General features: G+C 41.8%; 1 protein-coding gene across 6 annotated transcripts in view, besides 4 other annotated features; it reads right to left on the reverse strand.

Moving 5' to 3' along the window:
* The window catches only part of PBLD (phenazine biosynthesis like protein domain containing), a 50,269-nt gene that overhangs the window by 17,435 nt on the left and 16,919 nt on the right, over positions 1–15,915 (reverse strand). For 3 of the 6 annotated variants that reach the window (XM_017016513.2, NM_022129.4, NM_001033083.2), the window contains exon 2: positions 6,667–6,809. In XM_017016513.2, coding sequence (XP_016872002.1) covers positions 6,667–6,750 — 84 coding nt within the window. In that variant the 5' untranslated portion in view covers positions 6,751–6,809. Of the gene's footprint in view, positions 1–6,666; positions 6,813–15,915 lie in introns of all 6 variants that reach the window. The other 3 variants (XM_011540060.4, XM_005270028.5, XM_017016514.2) reach the window with 1 other exon arrangement.
* Positions 464–664: a silencer, noted in NCBI's record as "peak989 fragment used in MPRA reporter construct". NCBI's record gives its function as "represses an SCP1 promoter by STARR-seq MPRAs in K562 erythroleukemia cells {active_cell/tissue: K562}" and the evidence as "EXISTENCE:reporter gene assay evidence [ECO:0000049][PMID:32103011]".
* Positions 644–844: a silencer, noted in NCBI's record as "peak990 fragment used in MPRA reporter construct". NCBI's record gives its function as "represses an SCP1 promoter by STARR-seq MPRAs in K562 erythroleukemia cells {active_cell/tissue: K562}" and the evidence as "EXISTENCE:reporter gene assay evidence [ECO:0000049][PMID:32103011]".
* Positions 14,304–14,504: a silencer, noted in NCBI's record as "peak991 fragment used in MPRA reporter construct". NCBI's record gives its function as "represses an SCP1 promoter by STARR-seq MPRAs in K562 erythroleukemia cells {active_cell/tissue: K562}" and the evidence as "EXISTENCE:reporter gene assay evidence [ECO:0000049][PMID:32103011]".
* Positions 14,528–14,627: an enhancer, noted in NCBI's record as "active region_3460". NCBI's record gives its function as "activates an Ori minimal core promoter by ATAC-STARR-seq in GM12878 lymphoblastoid cells {active_cell/tissue: GM12878}" and the evidence as "EXISTENCE:reporter gene assay evidence [ECO:0000049][PMID:35858748]".

Here is a 15,915-nt window from a genome sequence, read left to right on the forward strand (position 1 = left end):
TGCCTAGGCTGGTCTGGAACTCCTGAGCTCAGGCAATGCGCCCATATTGGCCTCCCAAAGTGCTAGAACTACAGGCATGATCCTCTACGCCCCGGCTTACCCAGAGAGAGACTGAAAGAAACAGAAAGAGAGAGAGAAAGAGATAACTCATCCCAGTGCCCAACACGTAGTAGGTACTTGATACATGTTAGCTTTTTATTTGAGTGGCTCAAAGTCATGCTTTAACTAGCCACACTACACTGCCTGCCCATCACAAAGACAAACGATTATTAACCCTGTAACATGCTACAGACAGGGAAAACAAACGTCTAGCAGAGAAAATGGACCCCTGCAAGGTTTCTAAGACGGAACAGCAATAAATAAATTAATGAGTACTGTGCTGAGCCAGGAGCACGGCAACACAACTAAGGGGATTTGTTAGAAATGCAGAGTCCGAGGCCCCCTGTCTTGGGCCTCCGACATTCTGAATCAGAATCTCCATTTTCACAAGCTCCCCAGGTGATCGTGTGCACATTAAAGTTTGAGAAACCCTTGTGTATAAGCCATGGTTGTGTTCAAGGGACTTAGCATCTAGGTGGGGAGTCAAGACAGCCACAGACAGCAACTGTGAACAATACCAGAGAAAATGTCATTGAGACACATAGATTTTGACAATAAATACTCTAAAACTTTAAAGATGAGGTCTTGTGGTGAACCTAGAAAAGAGGGGAGATTTCGGTGATTTGGACAGAAAAGTGTGTGCAAAGAGCTTTGTATTAGGACAGCTTCTTAGGCAAGTTGCTTGATCTCACTTCTGTTTTTTTGTTTTGTTCTGTTTTTTTGAGACGGAATCTCGCTCTGTCACCCAGGCTGGAGTGCAGTGGTGCGATCTGGCTCACTGCAACCTCTGCCTCCCAGGTTCAAGTGATTCTCCTGCCTCAGCGTCCTGAGTAGCTGGGATTACAAGTGTGTGCCACCATACCCGGCTGATTTTTGTATTTTATTAGAGATGAGGTTTCACCATGTTGGCCAGACTGGTCTCAAACTCCTGACCTCAGGTGATCCACCCACCTCGGCCTCCCAAAGTGCTGAGATTACAGGCATGAGCCACCGCACCCGCCCATTCTCTTGTTAAATCAGAGATTAAACTTTAACATAATGGACACTCTAGAATTCTAGAAGTAGGATGGTGAAAATGCAGTGGGATGAGTACCTGTCCCACCTGTGGGCACCTGTGGGCCTGGATAAGTGAGAAATCCCACCTAAGAAGAGGAGTAGAGGGGGCCACTGGAAAGTCCCAGCCAACAAGACAACAATGTTAACAATTGAACTCAAGCACTCTCCATGGCCTGTTGAATGTTTTCTGTGGAAACTGGTCCAGATGCACATGCACACAACACCTGATAGAAACTGGGAGGTATTTAAGCCCCTTAGTGCAGAGTCTGCAATCACAAGTCTCAGTGGTAATCGAAAGGTGATCAAGAAAAGCCTTTGCTGGCCTTCCTGGACTTGCCTCCTTGCTTGCAGAAACCTAAAGTGCCTGTCAGTCCTTCCTCTATATGATCTGGCGAAACTTCCTATCTTCGTCCTTCCTTTCTTTCTCTATAGCTCCCTGTGACCTTTAGGATAAGTCTTTAAAAGTATTAAAACATCCTACATTGTAGCCAAGCTCACCATCTATTGGTAATAGATTTCTTTGCAAATGGGCCCTTTCACACATTAGCTAGGACGCAAAGTCCACTGCCCACCAGCTCTTTAATCCTCTCTACCTTGGTATACTGCATTTCTTGCAATTTGAATTTATATAACTGTAACTTCTATTTCAGGACACTAAAAAATGCACCTGCTATTTGCCTGAGGGACCAGAGACACGTGGAAAGTTTAACAGTAGCAGCCCACAACATGTACCACTGGCAGCTGGACTTTCACTGAATTTCTACACTGCAACCAAAGGTCAAGACAATGGTGAATCATGGAAAGACTTCAACTTTGAAAGCCTTACAAACAAAAGAGAGAGGATGCATTTGTTCAAAATACTGGCTTTTCTTTTCAGCAATTTTTCCATTTTACACTAGGAGCTTCTTTTCAAACGCTGCACAAAACAGTTACAAACCAACAGCTATGAATTCCCTTGCTTTAATATCCATTTCCCTTTGGCCATCTCATGTGAATCAAATTTCCAACAGCAAAAACAGAGTGATGTTTGCCTTTCTGAATTCCAGTGTACTGCTTTGGCATACCGAGGTTCCATCGCCTTATGACCCACAAAGATTAATGATCAGAAAATCAGAGTAAAGTTTTAAAATACTCCCATCTTGTGGCAGTTTTGAAATATGGCAACCTGAATATGACAGTCCCGACTTATCAGTCCTTATTGTTCATTTGTCCCTCTGCTGTAGATAAGGTTCCAGTAAATTCAACACACCTGGATGGAGAAAGTTCTAAAACCATCAAGGAAGTGGCAAACTTGTAAACTAAAATTGACAAAACATTAGGCTGGGTGCAGTGGCTCTTGTCCAAGCACTTTAGGAGGCTGAGGTGAGAGGATCACCTGAGGCCAGAAGTTAGAGACCAGCCTGGGCAACATAGCAAGACCCTGTCTCTACAAAAAATAAAAATTAGCTGAGCGTGGTGGTGCACACCTGTTGTCTCAGCTACTCTGGAGGTTGAGGCAGGCGGATAGCTTGAGCCCAGGAGTTCAAGGCTGCAGTGAGCTATAATCATGCCACTGTACTCCAGCCTAGGGGAGAAAGCAAGGTCCTGTCTCTGGAAAAAAAAAAAAAAATTAGAATTTAAAAAAAAAAAAGCACCACTGGTTGTTACCACCACAACCAGTAGCTAGTCATGGGTCCCTCTAGTTTTTTACCCAGCTATCATCATAATGTATCTGTTTTACTTTTTACATTGCTTCTATACATTTTCCATGTTTCTACAAGGTCTTTATTGTCAAACGGATTGTCAGGCATCTGAGGACACCATCAATTATTTATTTATTTATTTATTTATTTATTTATGTTTGAGAAGGAGTTTCACTCTGTCGCCCAGGCTGGAGTGCAGTGGTGCTCTCTGGGCTCACTACAACCTCTGCCTCCCAGGTTCAAGCAACTCGCCTGCCTCAGCCTACCGAGTAGCTGGGATTACAGGCATGCGTCACCACACCTGGCTAATTTTTGGCTGGTCTTTAACCTTGGCTAATTTGACGGGGTTTCACCATGTTGGCCAGGGTGGTCTCAAACTCCTGACCTCAGGTGATCTGCCTGCCTCGGCCTCCCAAAGTGCTGGGATTACAGGTGTGAACCACCGCACCCAGACAATTTTTATTACATTGTTTTCAAATATTTGTTCTATGTTTCCAGGTAGCCGTTAATTTGTTTTTGTTTTCACCTAATGTATAGTGTTATATGTTGTCATGTGAAAAATTTAAAAATTTAAAAATGTCAGCCGGGCGTGGTGACTCACACCTGTAATCCCAGCACTTTGGGAGGCCGAGGTGGGAAGATTGCTTGTCTCAAAAAAATAAAAATTAAAAAATTTAAAAATGGACTTGTCTTGAAAACAAAAAATCCTTTAGAATATTATAGAAGCTCTTGAACTTTATTACTCAGAAGTTTTTACTTTACTTTCAGTAGTCTTTTATCAAGTGTTCAAAAAGCTCAAAGCACCACGACCTAGTCTTTAGTCTATCCACCAGGTTTTCCTGTGGTTACTCTCATCCTGGTCAAATTTTGAATAACTTAAAACAAAGCTACAAAAAAAAAAATCATCTGAAGCCCTGCACTTAAAATCTGAGGTATTTTTACCTCATAAAACCTAACATTATTCCATTCTCTGAGGCCTGGTACCTTCAGGTCTTTTAGTCTCTGTAGTGACTACTGAATAACGATGGGTTTACATGCCCATTTTCTGCACTAGACTCTGAGCCCTTCAAGGGCAGGTGAACTTGTTAACCTTTGTACCTCTGGCTCCTAGCCCAGAGCCTGGCTGAATTCCTACTGAATTGTGTCCAATATTATAAGATTTAGCGTTTATTTGTCTCTGACATTTTCCTGTGGCCACCTGTATTCTCTCCACCATCTCAGGACAATGAACCCAAGGGCAGACACCACCATTTATACGTCTATTATAATTTTTATTGATTACGAATTAGGAAAAGTGCTATCTTCGCCTCTAGGAGGATAAGATTCTCACATCCAAAGAGCAGAAAAGCATGACAAAGAGGCGTAGCAAACTAATCTTTAGATATCTATTCAGGTGTCTCTGACAGGCCGTGAAATTTTCCTGGTCTCACAGGCCCAAGCCTCAAAAGAAGTGAATTGGAAAACTCTTTAGAGAGCATCCCCAAATCATGGACTTCCTTATCTTCTTTTTCCTTCTTCCATTCATACTAAAGCGTGTTGTTTTAAACTGTAAGTTCTTTGCTTAAATTTTTATTTCCTAGTTTTTCCAAATATATAATTAACATACAAAATATGTTTTAACGGAGAGATAGGTAGAAAGAGAGAGAAAAAAGAAAGAAAGAAAGAAAGAGATATCAATCCCATAAGTCTGATGTTTGCTGAATTTACTGGAAATAAAAGGAGTAAGTTGGACAATAATCCAATTCTTGTTATCTGATAAAAATGGAATATATTCTATTCAATATAAACTACTGTCAAAACTCTTCAAGGATATTACATGCAGACATGGGGCAAATGTATTAAGACTTTTGACAAGCAGTTATAGTCAATTCCACAATTCCTTGACAGGAAGTTGTGTCTGCCAGATTGTTTCTAAAGAAAGGTCATGACTTGGAATCTGGTTGTTAATTGTTTTCATACTAATCTTCCCAAACTCTTGTAATAATGGACAAAGTTTATTACCTTCTGCATTTTGTGGAGAGAAAATACCAGCTCAAGTCTGCGTAATGAATGTAGAGTTAAGGTAAGACAAGGACTCTTGATGGCCACCTTACTGCTCCACTTAAGGGAGAAAATAAGTGTGAAAAGGACTCAATTAATAATATTCCACCAGGTGCAGTGGCTCAGGCCTGTAATCCCAGCACTTTGGAAGGCCAAGATAGGAGAATCACTTGAATCCAGGAGTTTGAGACCAGCCTGCTCAATTTAGCGAGACCACATCTCTATTTTATATAAAGTTTTAAAAAATAAAAAACAACAACAACAGCAATAAAAAACGACATTCCGCTCATCAGTCCTCCTTTTTTTTTTTTTTTCTTTTTTCTTAGAGACACGGTCTCGCTGTGTTGGCCAGGTTGGACTCTGGCTCCTGGCCCCAAGCAATCCTCCTGCCTCAGCCTCCCAAAGTACTAGGATTATAGGCAAGAGCCACCACACCCAGCCCAGTTCTCCATCATGATTGCACACTGGAATCACTTGGGGAACTTTAAAAAAAACACTGCTGGCCGGGCGCGGTGCTCACGCCTGTAATCCCAGCATTTTGAGAGGCCAAGGCAGGTAGATCACCTGAGGTCAGGAGTTCGAGACCAGCCTGGCCAACATAACGAAACCCCATCTCTATTAAAAATATAAAAAATTAGTCGTGCATGGTGGCGGGCACCTGTAATCTCAGCTACTTGGGAGATTAAGGCAAGAGAATCACTTGAACCCGGGAGGCGGATGTTGCAGTAAGCTCAGATCACGCCATTGCACTCCAGCCTGGGCAACAAGAGCGGAACTCCGTCTCAAAAACAAAACAAAACAAAAAAACACTGCTTCCCCCCAACTCCCAGAGAGCCTGTTGTAATTGCTCTAGAAGACAGCATTTTCAAAGTTCCTTGGGTGATTTTCATGTATAGCCAGGTTGAGATTCACTGTCCCTGAAGGCCCCAACACACACTTTGCCCAACTTAATATGACTTATTTAAGATCATCAATTGCTAACTGTCTTCTTGAAGTAATTTTCAGATAATCTACTCTTGTGCTAACTGCTCTGAGTGAAAGCACTCAGAAACGCCTTACCTTGTTTCTCACTACTTAGGGACCAACACAAGGTCAATATTCCTTGACCTTGAGGGTCAATATTTAAATATTAACTATTAACAATATTTAAATATTTAACTATTCTATTAATATTTATCTATTTAACTATTAATATTTAACTATTCCATTAATATTTAACTATTCCATTAATATGTATCCTAATCAAAAAGCCATTTTAAAAATGAGTCTTTCAGTAAGTTATTTATATACTATAGCTTAATTCCTTCTACCTCTCTACTTAACTACTTAATTCCTTGCAAAATGTCTCATTTTCTTGATCCTGAAAAGAATTTCTAATTGCCTGAGCTATAGATAAGGTTAAAGATACTCAGTTAGGATCTGTTATGCTCAATGTGAAATTGGCTATGTCTAGTCACACAAAACTCATCTAATTTCATTCTCCTCAACACTTGGTGCTAACTAAATGAAAACCTGATGGCTAAAAGGGAGCTCTAGCTCTTCTTTTTTAAAATTGGCTCTAGTTCCTCTTTATCTGAATCTTCATTTCATTGGACGTACCCAAGGCATAGGCATTTTTATCAAATACTTTGGTCAAAATCAACTTGCATACATGAACATTACTGATATGATGGCAAAGAACACAAACCAAAGAGGTAAACAAACAGGTGAAACTAGTCTTTTAAAATAAGTAATTGTTTCTACAGGAATCTAGAATTTCAGGTACTGTAATTCAAAACCAAGCACTTACATTTTCTAGGAGGCAAACAGCAGCAGGATTCCCACGAAATGCTCTTGCTGTGAATGCATCTGCTATGAAAATAGGAAGCTTCATTTTCCTTGCAAGCTGTTTTTGCAAGTTCTCAAAATTGCTGGTAGCCTGCTTTACGTCTTCTTCTTGGAAAAGGAAATCAAAAAGTTAATGTTTTACTTGGTGTCCAGACGCAAAGAACAGTTCCCAGATACAAAGTCAAGCAATTATTCAAAGATACTACATTTAAAGATATATAATCCCCTAACTTCTTTTTTCATTTTTTGAGATGGAGTCTTGCTCTGTTGCCCAGGCGGGAGTGCAGTGGCACCGATCTCGGCTCACTGTAACCTCCGCCTCCCCGGTTCAAGCGATTTTCCTGCCTCAGCCTCTTGAGTAGCTGGAATTACAGGCACCTGCCACCACGCCTGGCTAATTTCTGTGTTTTTAGTAGCGTCAGGTTTTCACGGTGTAGGCCAGGCTGGTCTCGAACTCCTGACCTCAGGTGATCTGCCCTCCTCAGCCTCAAAAAGTGCTGAGATTATAGGCATGAGCCACTGTGCCTGGCCAATCCCCTAACTTTTTAAAACCTCTAAAATGAAATTCATTTTAAAATACTGGCTAAATTGATTTTTTCCATATTCTGTATTGACTTTTCATATTATACATAGAACTTAGCAGCATAATCATAGTCTTTCTTAGAGTAGCCAGAACTAGCTTAGGATCTGTTTTTTGTTTTGTTTTGTTTTGTTTTTTTGAGACGGAGCATCGCTCTGTCGTCCAGGCTGGAGTGCAGTGGCATGATCTTGGCTCACTGCAAGCTCCCCCTCCCAGGTTCACGCAATTCTCCTGCCTCAGCCTCCCGAGTAGGTGGGACTACAGGCGCCCGCCACTGCGCCCGGCTAATTTTTTGTATTTTTAGTAGAGATGGAGTTTCACCATGTTAGCCAGGATGGTCTCGATCTCCTGACCTTGTGATCCACCCGCCTCGGCCTCCCAAAGTGCTGGGATTACAGGCATGAGCCACCGCACCCGGCCGCTTAAGCTCTGCTTTTAATGAAATGCATGAAACATACAAGAGGCATGTATGTTGCTTACAGTCTCCCAATGAATATTATTACTATTTTTTAAAAGAACGCATTTTTTCTAATTAAAAAATATGCTCATTATAAAAAACTTGGAAAATAAAGACCCATAAGTGCACAAATTAGCAATAACATTATTAATGTTCTGGATGTACAGCTTTTATCAGAATTTTACCCTCTTAACAGTAAATTGGCCCTCTGTATTCACAGAGGATAGATCCCAGGACCCCCTGAGGACACCATACTCCCACAGATGCTCAAGTCCCTTATATAAAATAGCGTAATTCAAGGGACATTCCAATACAATTGGAAAACACTGTATAGCATGAATATTTTCTAAACACACCAAATGCTTCAAAAACACCCTTTTAATAGATTTACAATACGTTTATGGATATGCTATAAGTTGTTTAACCATATCCCTTTGGGTGAATATTTAAGTTGTTTCTAATTTTTCACTTGTAAAGATAATGCAGTGATCAAACCTGTTAAATGTAAATTTTCTTCTGTGTTCCTGATTCTTTTATATATATTCCTAAAAGTGAAATCCCTGGGTCAAAGAGTACAGATGTTTTAACTTAAACAGTTAAATTTATCTGCAGAAAAAGTATACCAATTTAGACAGTATATGAGAGTGTCTGATCATTGCTAATCTGATAGATTTTAAAATATCTTGTTTTCATTTGCATTTCTTAGATTATTCTTTCTTTCTTTCTTTTTGGAGACAGAGTCTTACTCTGTCACCCAGGCTGGATTGCAATGGCACAATCTCCACTCACTGCAACCTCTGCCTCCTGGGTTCAAGCGATTCTCATGCCTCAGCCTCCCAAGTAGCTGGGATTACAGGCACGTGCCACCACACCTGGCTTATTTTTTGTAGAGACAGGGTTTCGCCATGTTGGCCAGGCTGGTCTGGAACTCCTCACTTAAGTGATCCTCCCACCTAGGCCTCCCAAAGAGCTGGGATTGCAGGCGTGCCCCACTGCACCTGACCTGCATGGTGTGTGTGTGTGTGTGTGTGTGTGTGTGTGTGTGTTTGTGTGTGTGTGTTGAGACCATTCTCTTGAATTTTAATCTTGGTTCCATTTACCACGTAAATGTAGGAAAATCAGAAAGCTTCCTTGTCCAAATAGCTTAGTCATTAAACCTGCCCATGGATGTGCCTGGGGAGAGTGATGTATATTTGTCCCTCTGCAATAGTCTTAGTTTGTTTACAGTTTTCCTGTCACTGCAGATTCCTGTTATTCTGTAGCTGTTAGCACAAAAGAACCCACTTCATGGCCTGGTGCAGTGGCTCACGCCTGTAATTCAGCACTTTGGGAGGCCAAGGCAGGCAGATCACTTGAGGTCAGGAGTTTGAGACCACCCTGGCCAACGTGGTGAAACCCATCTCTACCAAAAATATGAAAAAATTAGCCAGGTGTGCTGGCTCGTGCCTATAATCCCAGCTACTTGGGAGGCCGAGGCAGGAGAATCGCTTGAACCTGTGAGGCGGAAGTTGCAGTGAGCCGAGATTGTGCCACTACACTCCAGCCTAGACAACAGAGTGAGATTATGTTTCAAAAAAAAAAAAAAAAAAAAGAACCCACTTCACTCTTGCTTATAACTTTTATAACTTCCGCCTCAAAACGAGGCTACTCATTAATAAATATCAGTTTAGTTCTTTGAAAAAAATAAATATTGGCCAGGTGTGGTGGCTCACGTCTGTAATCCTAGCACTTTGGGAGGCCGAGGCAGGCAGATCACGAGGTCAGGAGATCGAGACCATCCTGGCCAACATGGTGAAACCCTGCCTGTACTAAAAATACAGAAATCAGCTGGGCATGGTGGCACATGCCTGTAATCCCAGCTACTAGGGAGGCTGAGGCAGGAGAATCGCTTGAACACAGAGTCAGAGGTTGTGGTGAGCCGAGATCACGCCACTGCTCTCCAGCCTGGTGACAGAGAGAGACTCCGTCTCAAAAAAAAAAAAAAAAAGAAAGAAAGAAAAAGAAAATATAAATATGTAGGCCAGGCACGGCGGCTCACACCTGTCATCCCAACATTTTGGGAGACTGAGGTGGGTGGATCACTTGATGTCAGGAGTTCGAGACCAGCCTGGCCAACACAGTGAAACCCCGTCTCTATTAAAAATACAAAAATTAGCCAGGCATGATAGCAGGCACCTGTAATCCCACCTACTTGGGAGGCTGAGGCAGGAGAATTGCTTGAACCTGGGAGGCTGAGGTTGCAGTGAGCTGAGATTGTACCACTGCACTCCAGCCTGGGTGACCGAGAGAGACTCTGTCTCAAAAAGAAAAAAGAAAATAATAGAGTACGGGCATTCAAAGTGTATCCGAACACCATCTACTTTTTTTTCAGTTGGTGAAAAGAAAATAAGTATCAAAAAGAATTATAAAGTGTAAATAAAATAAGTTTTAAATCAAAATTTGAAAGAAAATTTTTCTTTTTACTTTGTTTATGTTTCTTTTAATTGACAGATAAAATTATATTTATCATGTACAATATAATGTTTTGAAGTATATATATATATATATATACACATTGTGAAATGGTTAAATCTAGCTAATTAACAAATGCATCACCTCACATAATCATTATTTTTATGATTAGAACACTTAACATCCACTCTCTTTGCATTTTTCAAGAATACAGTATATTAACTATAGTCATGATGCTATACAATAGATCTCTTGAACTTATTCCTCCTATCTACTGTAATTATGTACCCTTTGGCCAGATCTCCCCAACCACTCCCCTCCCCAGCCACCCCCACCTCTGACAACCACCATTCTACTCTCTACTTCTACAGTGTCAACTTTCTTAGATTCCTCACTGAGTGAGATTATGCAGTATTTGTCTTTCTGTGTTTGGCTTATTTCACTTAGCATAATGCCTTCCAGGTTCACCCATGTTGATGCAAATGATGGGAATTCTTTCTTCTTTATGGCTGAATAATATTCTATTGCATAAATATAGACACTCCTCTACTTTTGATGGGGTTACATCTCAATAAACCCATCATAAGTTAAAAATATCATAAGCTGAAAATGCATTTAACACACCCAACCTACCAAACAATATAGCTTAGCCTAGCCTACCTTACACATGCTCAGAACACTTACATTAGCTTTCAGGTGGGCAATCATCTAACACAAAGCCTATTTTATAATAAAGTGCTGAATATCTCATGTAATTTATTAAATACCCTACTGAAAGTAAAAAGCAAAATGGTTGTATGGGTACACACCATTAACGTACACCGCTGAAAGCACACTGGGCTTTCAGTGTGTTTTCAGTTTGAAGCATTAAACTAAAATTGGCCAGGCACAGTGGCACACACCTATAATATCAGCACTTTGGGAAACCGAGGCAGGTGGATCAAGTCAGGAGTTCCAGACCAGCCTGGCCAACATGGTGAAACCCCATCTCTACTAAAAATACAAAAATTAGCTGGGCGGCCAGGCATGGTGGCTCATACCTGTAATCCCAGCACTTTGGGAGGCTGAGGCAGGTGGATCACAAGGTCAGAAGATTGAGACCATCCTGACTAACACAGTGAAACCCCATCTCTACTAAAAATACAAAAAAGTAGCCAGGTGTGGTGGCGGGCGCCTGTAGTCCCAGCTACTTGGGAGGCTGAGGCAGGAGAATGGCATGAACCTGGGAGGCGGGGCTTGCAGTGAGCGGAGATCGCGCCACTGCACTCCAGCCTGGGTGACAGAGTGAGACACTGTGTCAAAAAAAAAAGAAAAAATTAGCTGGGCATGGTGGCGCATGCCTGTAGTCCCAGCTACTCGGGAAGCTGAGGCAGGAGGAGCGCTTGAACCCGGGAAGCGGAGATAGCAGTGAGCCGAGATCATGCCACTGCACTCCCACCTGGGTGGCAGAGCGAGACCCTGCCTCAAAAAAAAAAAAAAAAAAAAAGAATAACTGATAGAAAGCACTAGGGTGCCAACATTTGTTGATGGTTTAGCAGGCATAGTGTTTTTTAGGAAGATGGCAAATACTGGCTGTTTACCCCCATAATCGTGTGGCTGGCTGGGAGTGCAGCTGGCTGCCACTGTCCAGCATTGTGGGAAAGTATTGTACCACACATCAGTAGCCTGGGAACAGATCAAAATTCAAAATTCAAAGTACTGTTTCTGCTGAATGCATATTGTTTTCCCACCACCATAAAGTCAAAAAATTGTAAGTCAAAGTATCATAAGTCAGGGGCCATCTGTATACCACATTTTCTTTATCCATTCATTGAGGAACAGTTAGGTTGATTCCACATCTTGGCTATTGTGAATATTGCTGCAATAAACACAAGAACGCAGATATTTCTTCAACGTACTGTGTTTTACACCCAGTAGTGGAATTGCTGAATTACATGGTTAGTTCTATTTTCAATTTTTTGAGGCATCTCCATTCTGTTTTCTGTAATGGCTATACTAATTTACATTCCAGCCAACAGTGTGTAAGGGTTCCCTCTTCTCCACGTCCTCACCAACACTTGTTATCTTGTGTTTTTTTTTATAATAGTCATTCAACAGGAGTTAAGTGATATCTCATTGTGGTTTGATTTGCATTTCCTTGATGATTAGTGATACTGAGCATTTTATAATATAGCTATTGACCATTTGTATATCTTCTTTAGAGAAATGTCTATTTGGATACTTTGCCTTTTGTCCATTTTTTAATAGAATAGGGTTACTGGGTTATTTGGGGGCTTTTTGTTATTGATTTTCTTTCTTTTTGTTATTGAGTTTCTTTCCTTTTTTTTTTTTTTTTTTTTTTGAGACAGAGTCTTGCTCTGTCTCCCAGACTGGAGTGCAGTGGTGCGATTTCAGCTCACTGCAAGCTCCGCCTCCCGGGTTCACGCCATTCTCCTGCCTCAGCCTCCGGAGTAGCTGGTACTACAGGCGCCCGCCACCATGGCCTGGCTAATTTTTTTGTATTTTTAGTAGAGACGGGGTTTCACCATGTTAGCCAGGATGGTCTCGATCTCCTGACCTTGAGATCCGCCCACCTCGGACTCCCAAAGTGTTGAGATTACAGGCGTGAGCCACCGGGCCCAGCCTTTTTTCTTTTTTAGGCAAGGTCTCACTCTGTCACCCAGGCTGGAGTGCAGTGGTGGTGGTGCGATCAATCACAGTTCACTGCAGCCTCGACCTCCCCAGGCTCAGGTGATTCTCCCACCTCAGCCTCCTGAGTAGCTGGACTACAAGCATGCACCACCACGCCTGACTGACTTTTGTATTTATTGTAGAGAGGGGTTCTCGCCATGTTGCCCAAGCTGGTCTCAAACTCCTGGGCTCAAGCAATCTGCCTGCTTTGGCCTGCCAAAGTGCTAGGATTACAGGCTTGAGCCAACGTGCCGGGCCGAGTTTCTTATATTTTTTGAATATTAATCCCTTATCAGATGTATAATTTGCAAATATTTTCTCCCATTCCATACTTTGTCTCTTCATTCTGTTGTTTCCTTTGCTGTACAGAAGCTTTTTAGTTATGTAATCCCATTTGTCTATTTTTTGTTTTGTTGCCTGAAGAAAACTAACCTCTAAATTAGTTTCATCTAGCTACTAATATAGATCTATTCAAATACGACATATGTAGTGTTCAACTACTTTGTGTTTACTTTTATGCATACTTCCCGGATGTCACAGAAGCTCCAAACACCGCCTTTGTTAAAATGTTCATAGGCTAGTTCTGAATTCCTCAACCAGATTTATGTTCAAACACCTGATGTTTGGGAATTTTTTCACTTTTCTGCTAAAATTTAGGATTCTCATATTATCATCATGATTTACCATTTACCAAACAAATTTTATGAAAACACTTTGGTGTTAAGATCCACATTCTTGCTCCTCAAAAGCTCAAGGGCCTGGAAGGGACTTCAGAAAATAGATTATAAATTGATATTAAGATGCTTTCTAAATAAGAAAACATAGTTCAGTACTTTGCAGTGGTAAAACCTTTACCATATGCCAGAAAAAGACAACAACAACAACAAAAAAACCCTTTTCCATATGCCAAAAATTGTTTAGGTTCTTTCTGCTGCTCTGTTAAGGAAGCTGTACTTGACAATCCAATTGAACTGGAGGTTTATATTTTAAACTTCTAATTTTTATTTTTATTTTTACTTATTTATTTATTTATTTATGGAGACAAAGTCTCACCCTCTCACCCAGGCTGGAATGCAGTGGCACAATCTTGGCTCACTGCAACCTCTGCCTCCCAGGTTCAAGTGATTCTCCTGCCTCAGCCTCCCGAGTAGCTGGGACTACAGGCGTGCACCACTGTGCCCAGCTAATTTTTGTATTTTTAGTAGAGATGGGGTTTCACTATGTTGGCCAAGCTGGTCTCAAAGTCCTTACCTCAGGTGATCCGCCCACCTCAGCCTCCCAAAGTGCTGGGATTACAGGCATGAACCACCACACCTAGCCTAAATTTAGAATTTTCAGTTTCACAGTTAAAGACTTAAGAATCTGTTTATAAGCACTGGTGGAGTTTTGCTCTATCTTGAAATTAATGGGGAAAACTTGGTCCACATATTCTTTACGAAAAGATATTACCTATCACTCTTGCCCTAGTTGATACTCTCTCCCCAGCTACATGATAGCTTTGAGAACCACCATCCTGCAATCACCTGATAGCTACTAGAAGGGACAGGATGTGGTTGAAGTCTCTTCAAAGCTGCATTCATAGAGAATTGTCATTTGACTTGTCTGGTAATTCCCTGGAAGACCCCCACTAACAAGGTTTGTCTTTTTTTTTTTCTTTTTGAGACAGAATCTCACTCTGTCACCCAGGCTGGAGTGCAGTGGCGCAATCTTGGCTCACTGCAACTTCCGCCTCCCAGGTTCAAGCGATTCTCCTTCCTCAGACTCCTAAGTAGCTGGGATTACAGGAGCACAACACCACACCAGGCTGATTTTTGTATTATTTTTAATTTAATTTTATTTATTTATTTATTTGAGACAGAGTCTCACTCTGTTGCCCAGGATGGAGTGCAATGGTACAATCTTGGCTCACTGCAACCTCTACCTCCTGGGTTCAAGCGATTTTTCTGCCTCAGCCTCCCAAGTAGTTGGGATTACAGGCACCCACCACCATGCCCAGCTAGGTTTTGTATTTTTAGTTGAGACGGGGTTTCGCCATGTTGGTCAGGCTGGTCTCGAACTCCTGACCTCAGGTGATCTGCCCACCTCGGCCTCCCAAAGTGCTGGGATCACAGGTGTGAGCCACCGTGCCCGGCTGTGGCTTGTCTTTATTGACCTGAGTCAAAGCTCACCCAACACAAACAGCCTTTCCTCAAGGGTTGTTTGTCAAAAACAAACAGCAACTGTTTAATAGCACCATGGCTGTCTGAGTCAGTGGATAATAGCTAAGGCAAATGATAGGCTAATCAAAAGTTGATAAGGAATAGCAAGGGAATGAGATGTCCAGAAAGGGTTTTGAAAAGCTCTGATGACCAGGCATGGTGGCTTGTGCCTGTAATCCCAGCACTCTGGGAGGCCTAGAAGGGTGGTTGACTTGAGGTCAGGAGTTCAAGACCAGCCTGGCCAACATGGTGAAACCCTGTCTCTACTAAAAATACAAAAATCAGCTGAGCATGGTGGTGTGTGCCTGTTATCCCAGCTACTCAGGAGGCTGAGGCAGGAGAATCGCTTGAACCTGGGAGGTGGAGGTTACAGTGAGCCAAGATCGCACCACTGCCCTCCAGCCTGGTGAGAGTCTGTCTCCAAAAAAAAAAAAAGACAAGAAAAAAAAAGCTCTGACATAGTCTTGAGAATCTAGAAGGCAATATACATACATAGGGCTCTGCATATATCCTAGGACTGTGTGCATGCAGAAAACCTGAAGAAACCCTAAGCTCTCACCTCTGACTGAGACCTAGGGGTTTTGTGCAAGCAGAAAGTGAAAGGTAAGGCAGAGTTACTACCTGTCTGGCTGAGTGTCAAGGGTGTGCCCCAGCATGTACAACTGAGTCCATCAGCAAAGACTGAGAGACATATTGACTCCAGGAACGTAAGAAAATCTCTGTCTAATAATTAGCTGATGCTAAGCTAACATACCAGTGTCTTCAATGGCCACACACCACAAAGAATACAGACTTGAGAGAAAGTAAAGAAAAGTAACTAAAGAACTCACAATAACAAACAATGGTGAAGGGGAG

The sequence above is a fragment of the Homo sapiens genome, chromosome 10, assembly GCF_000001405.40.
Source record: "Homo sapiens chromosome 10, GRCh38.p14 Primary Assembly".
Classification (NCBI taxonomy): domain Eukaryota; kingdom Metazoa; phylum Chordata; class Mammalia; order Primates; family Hominidae; genus Homo; species Homo sapiens.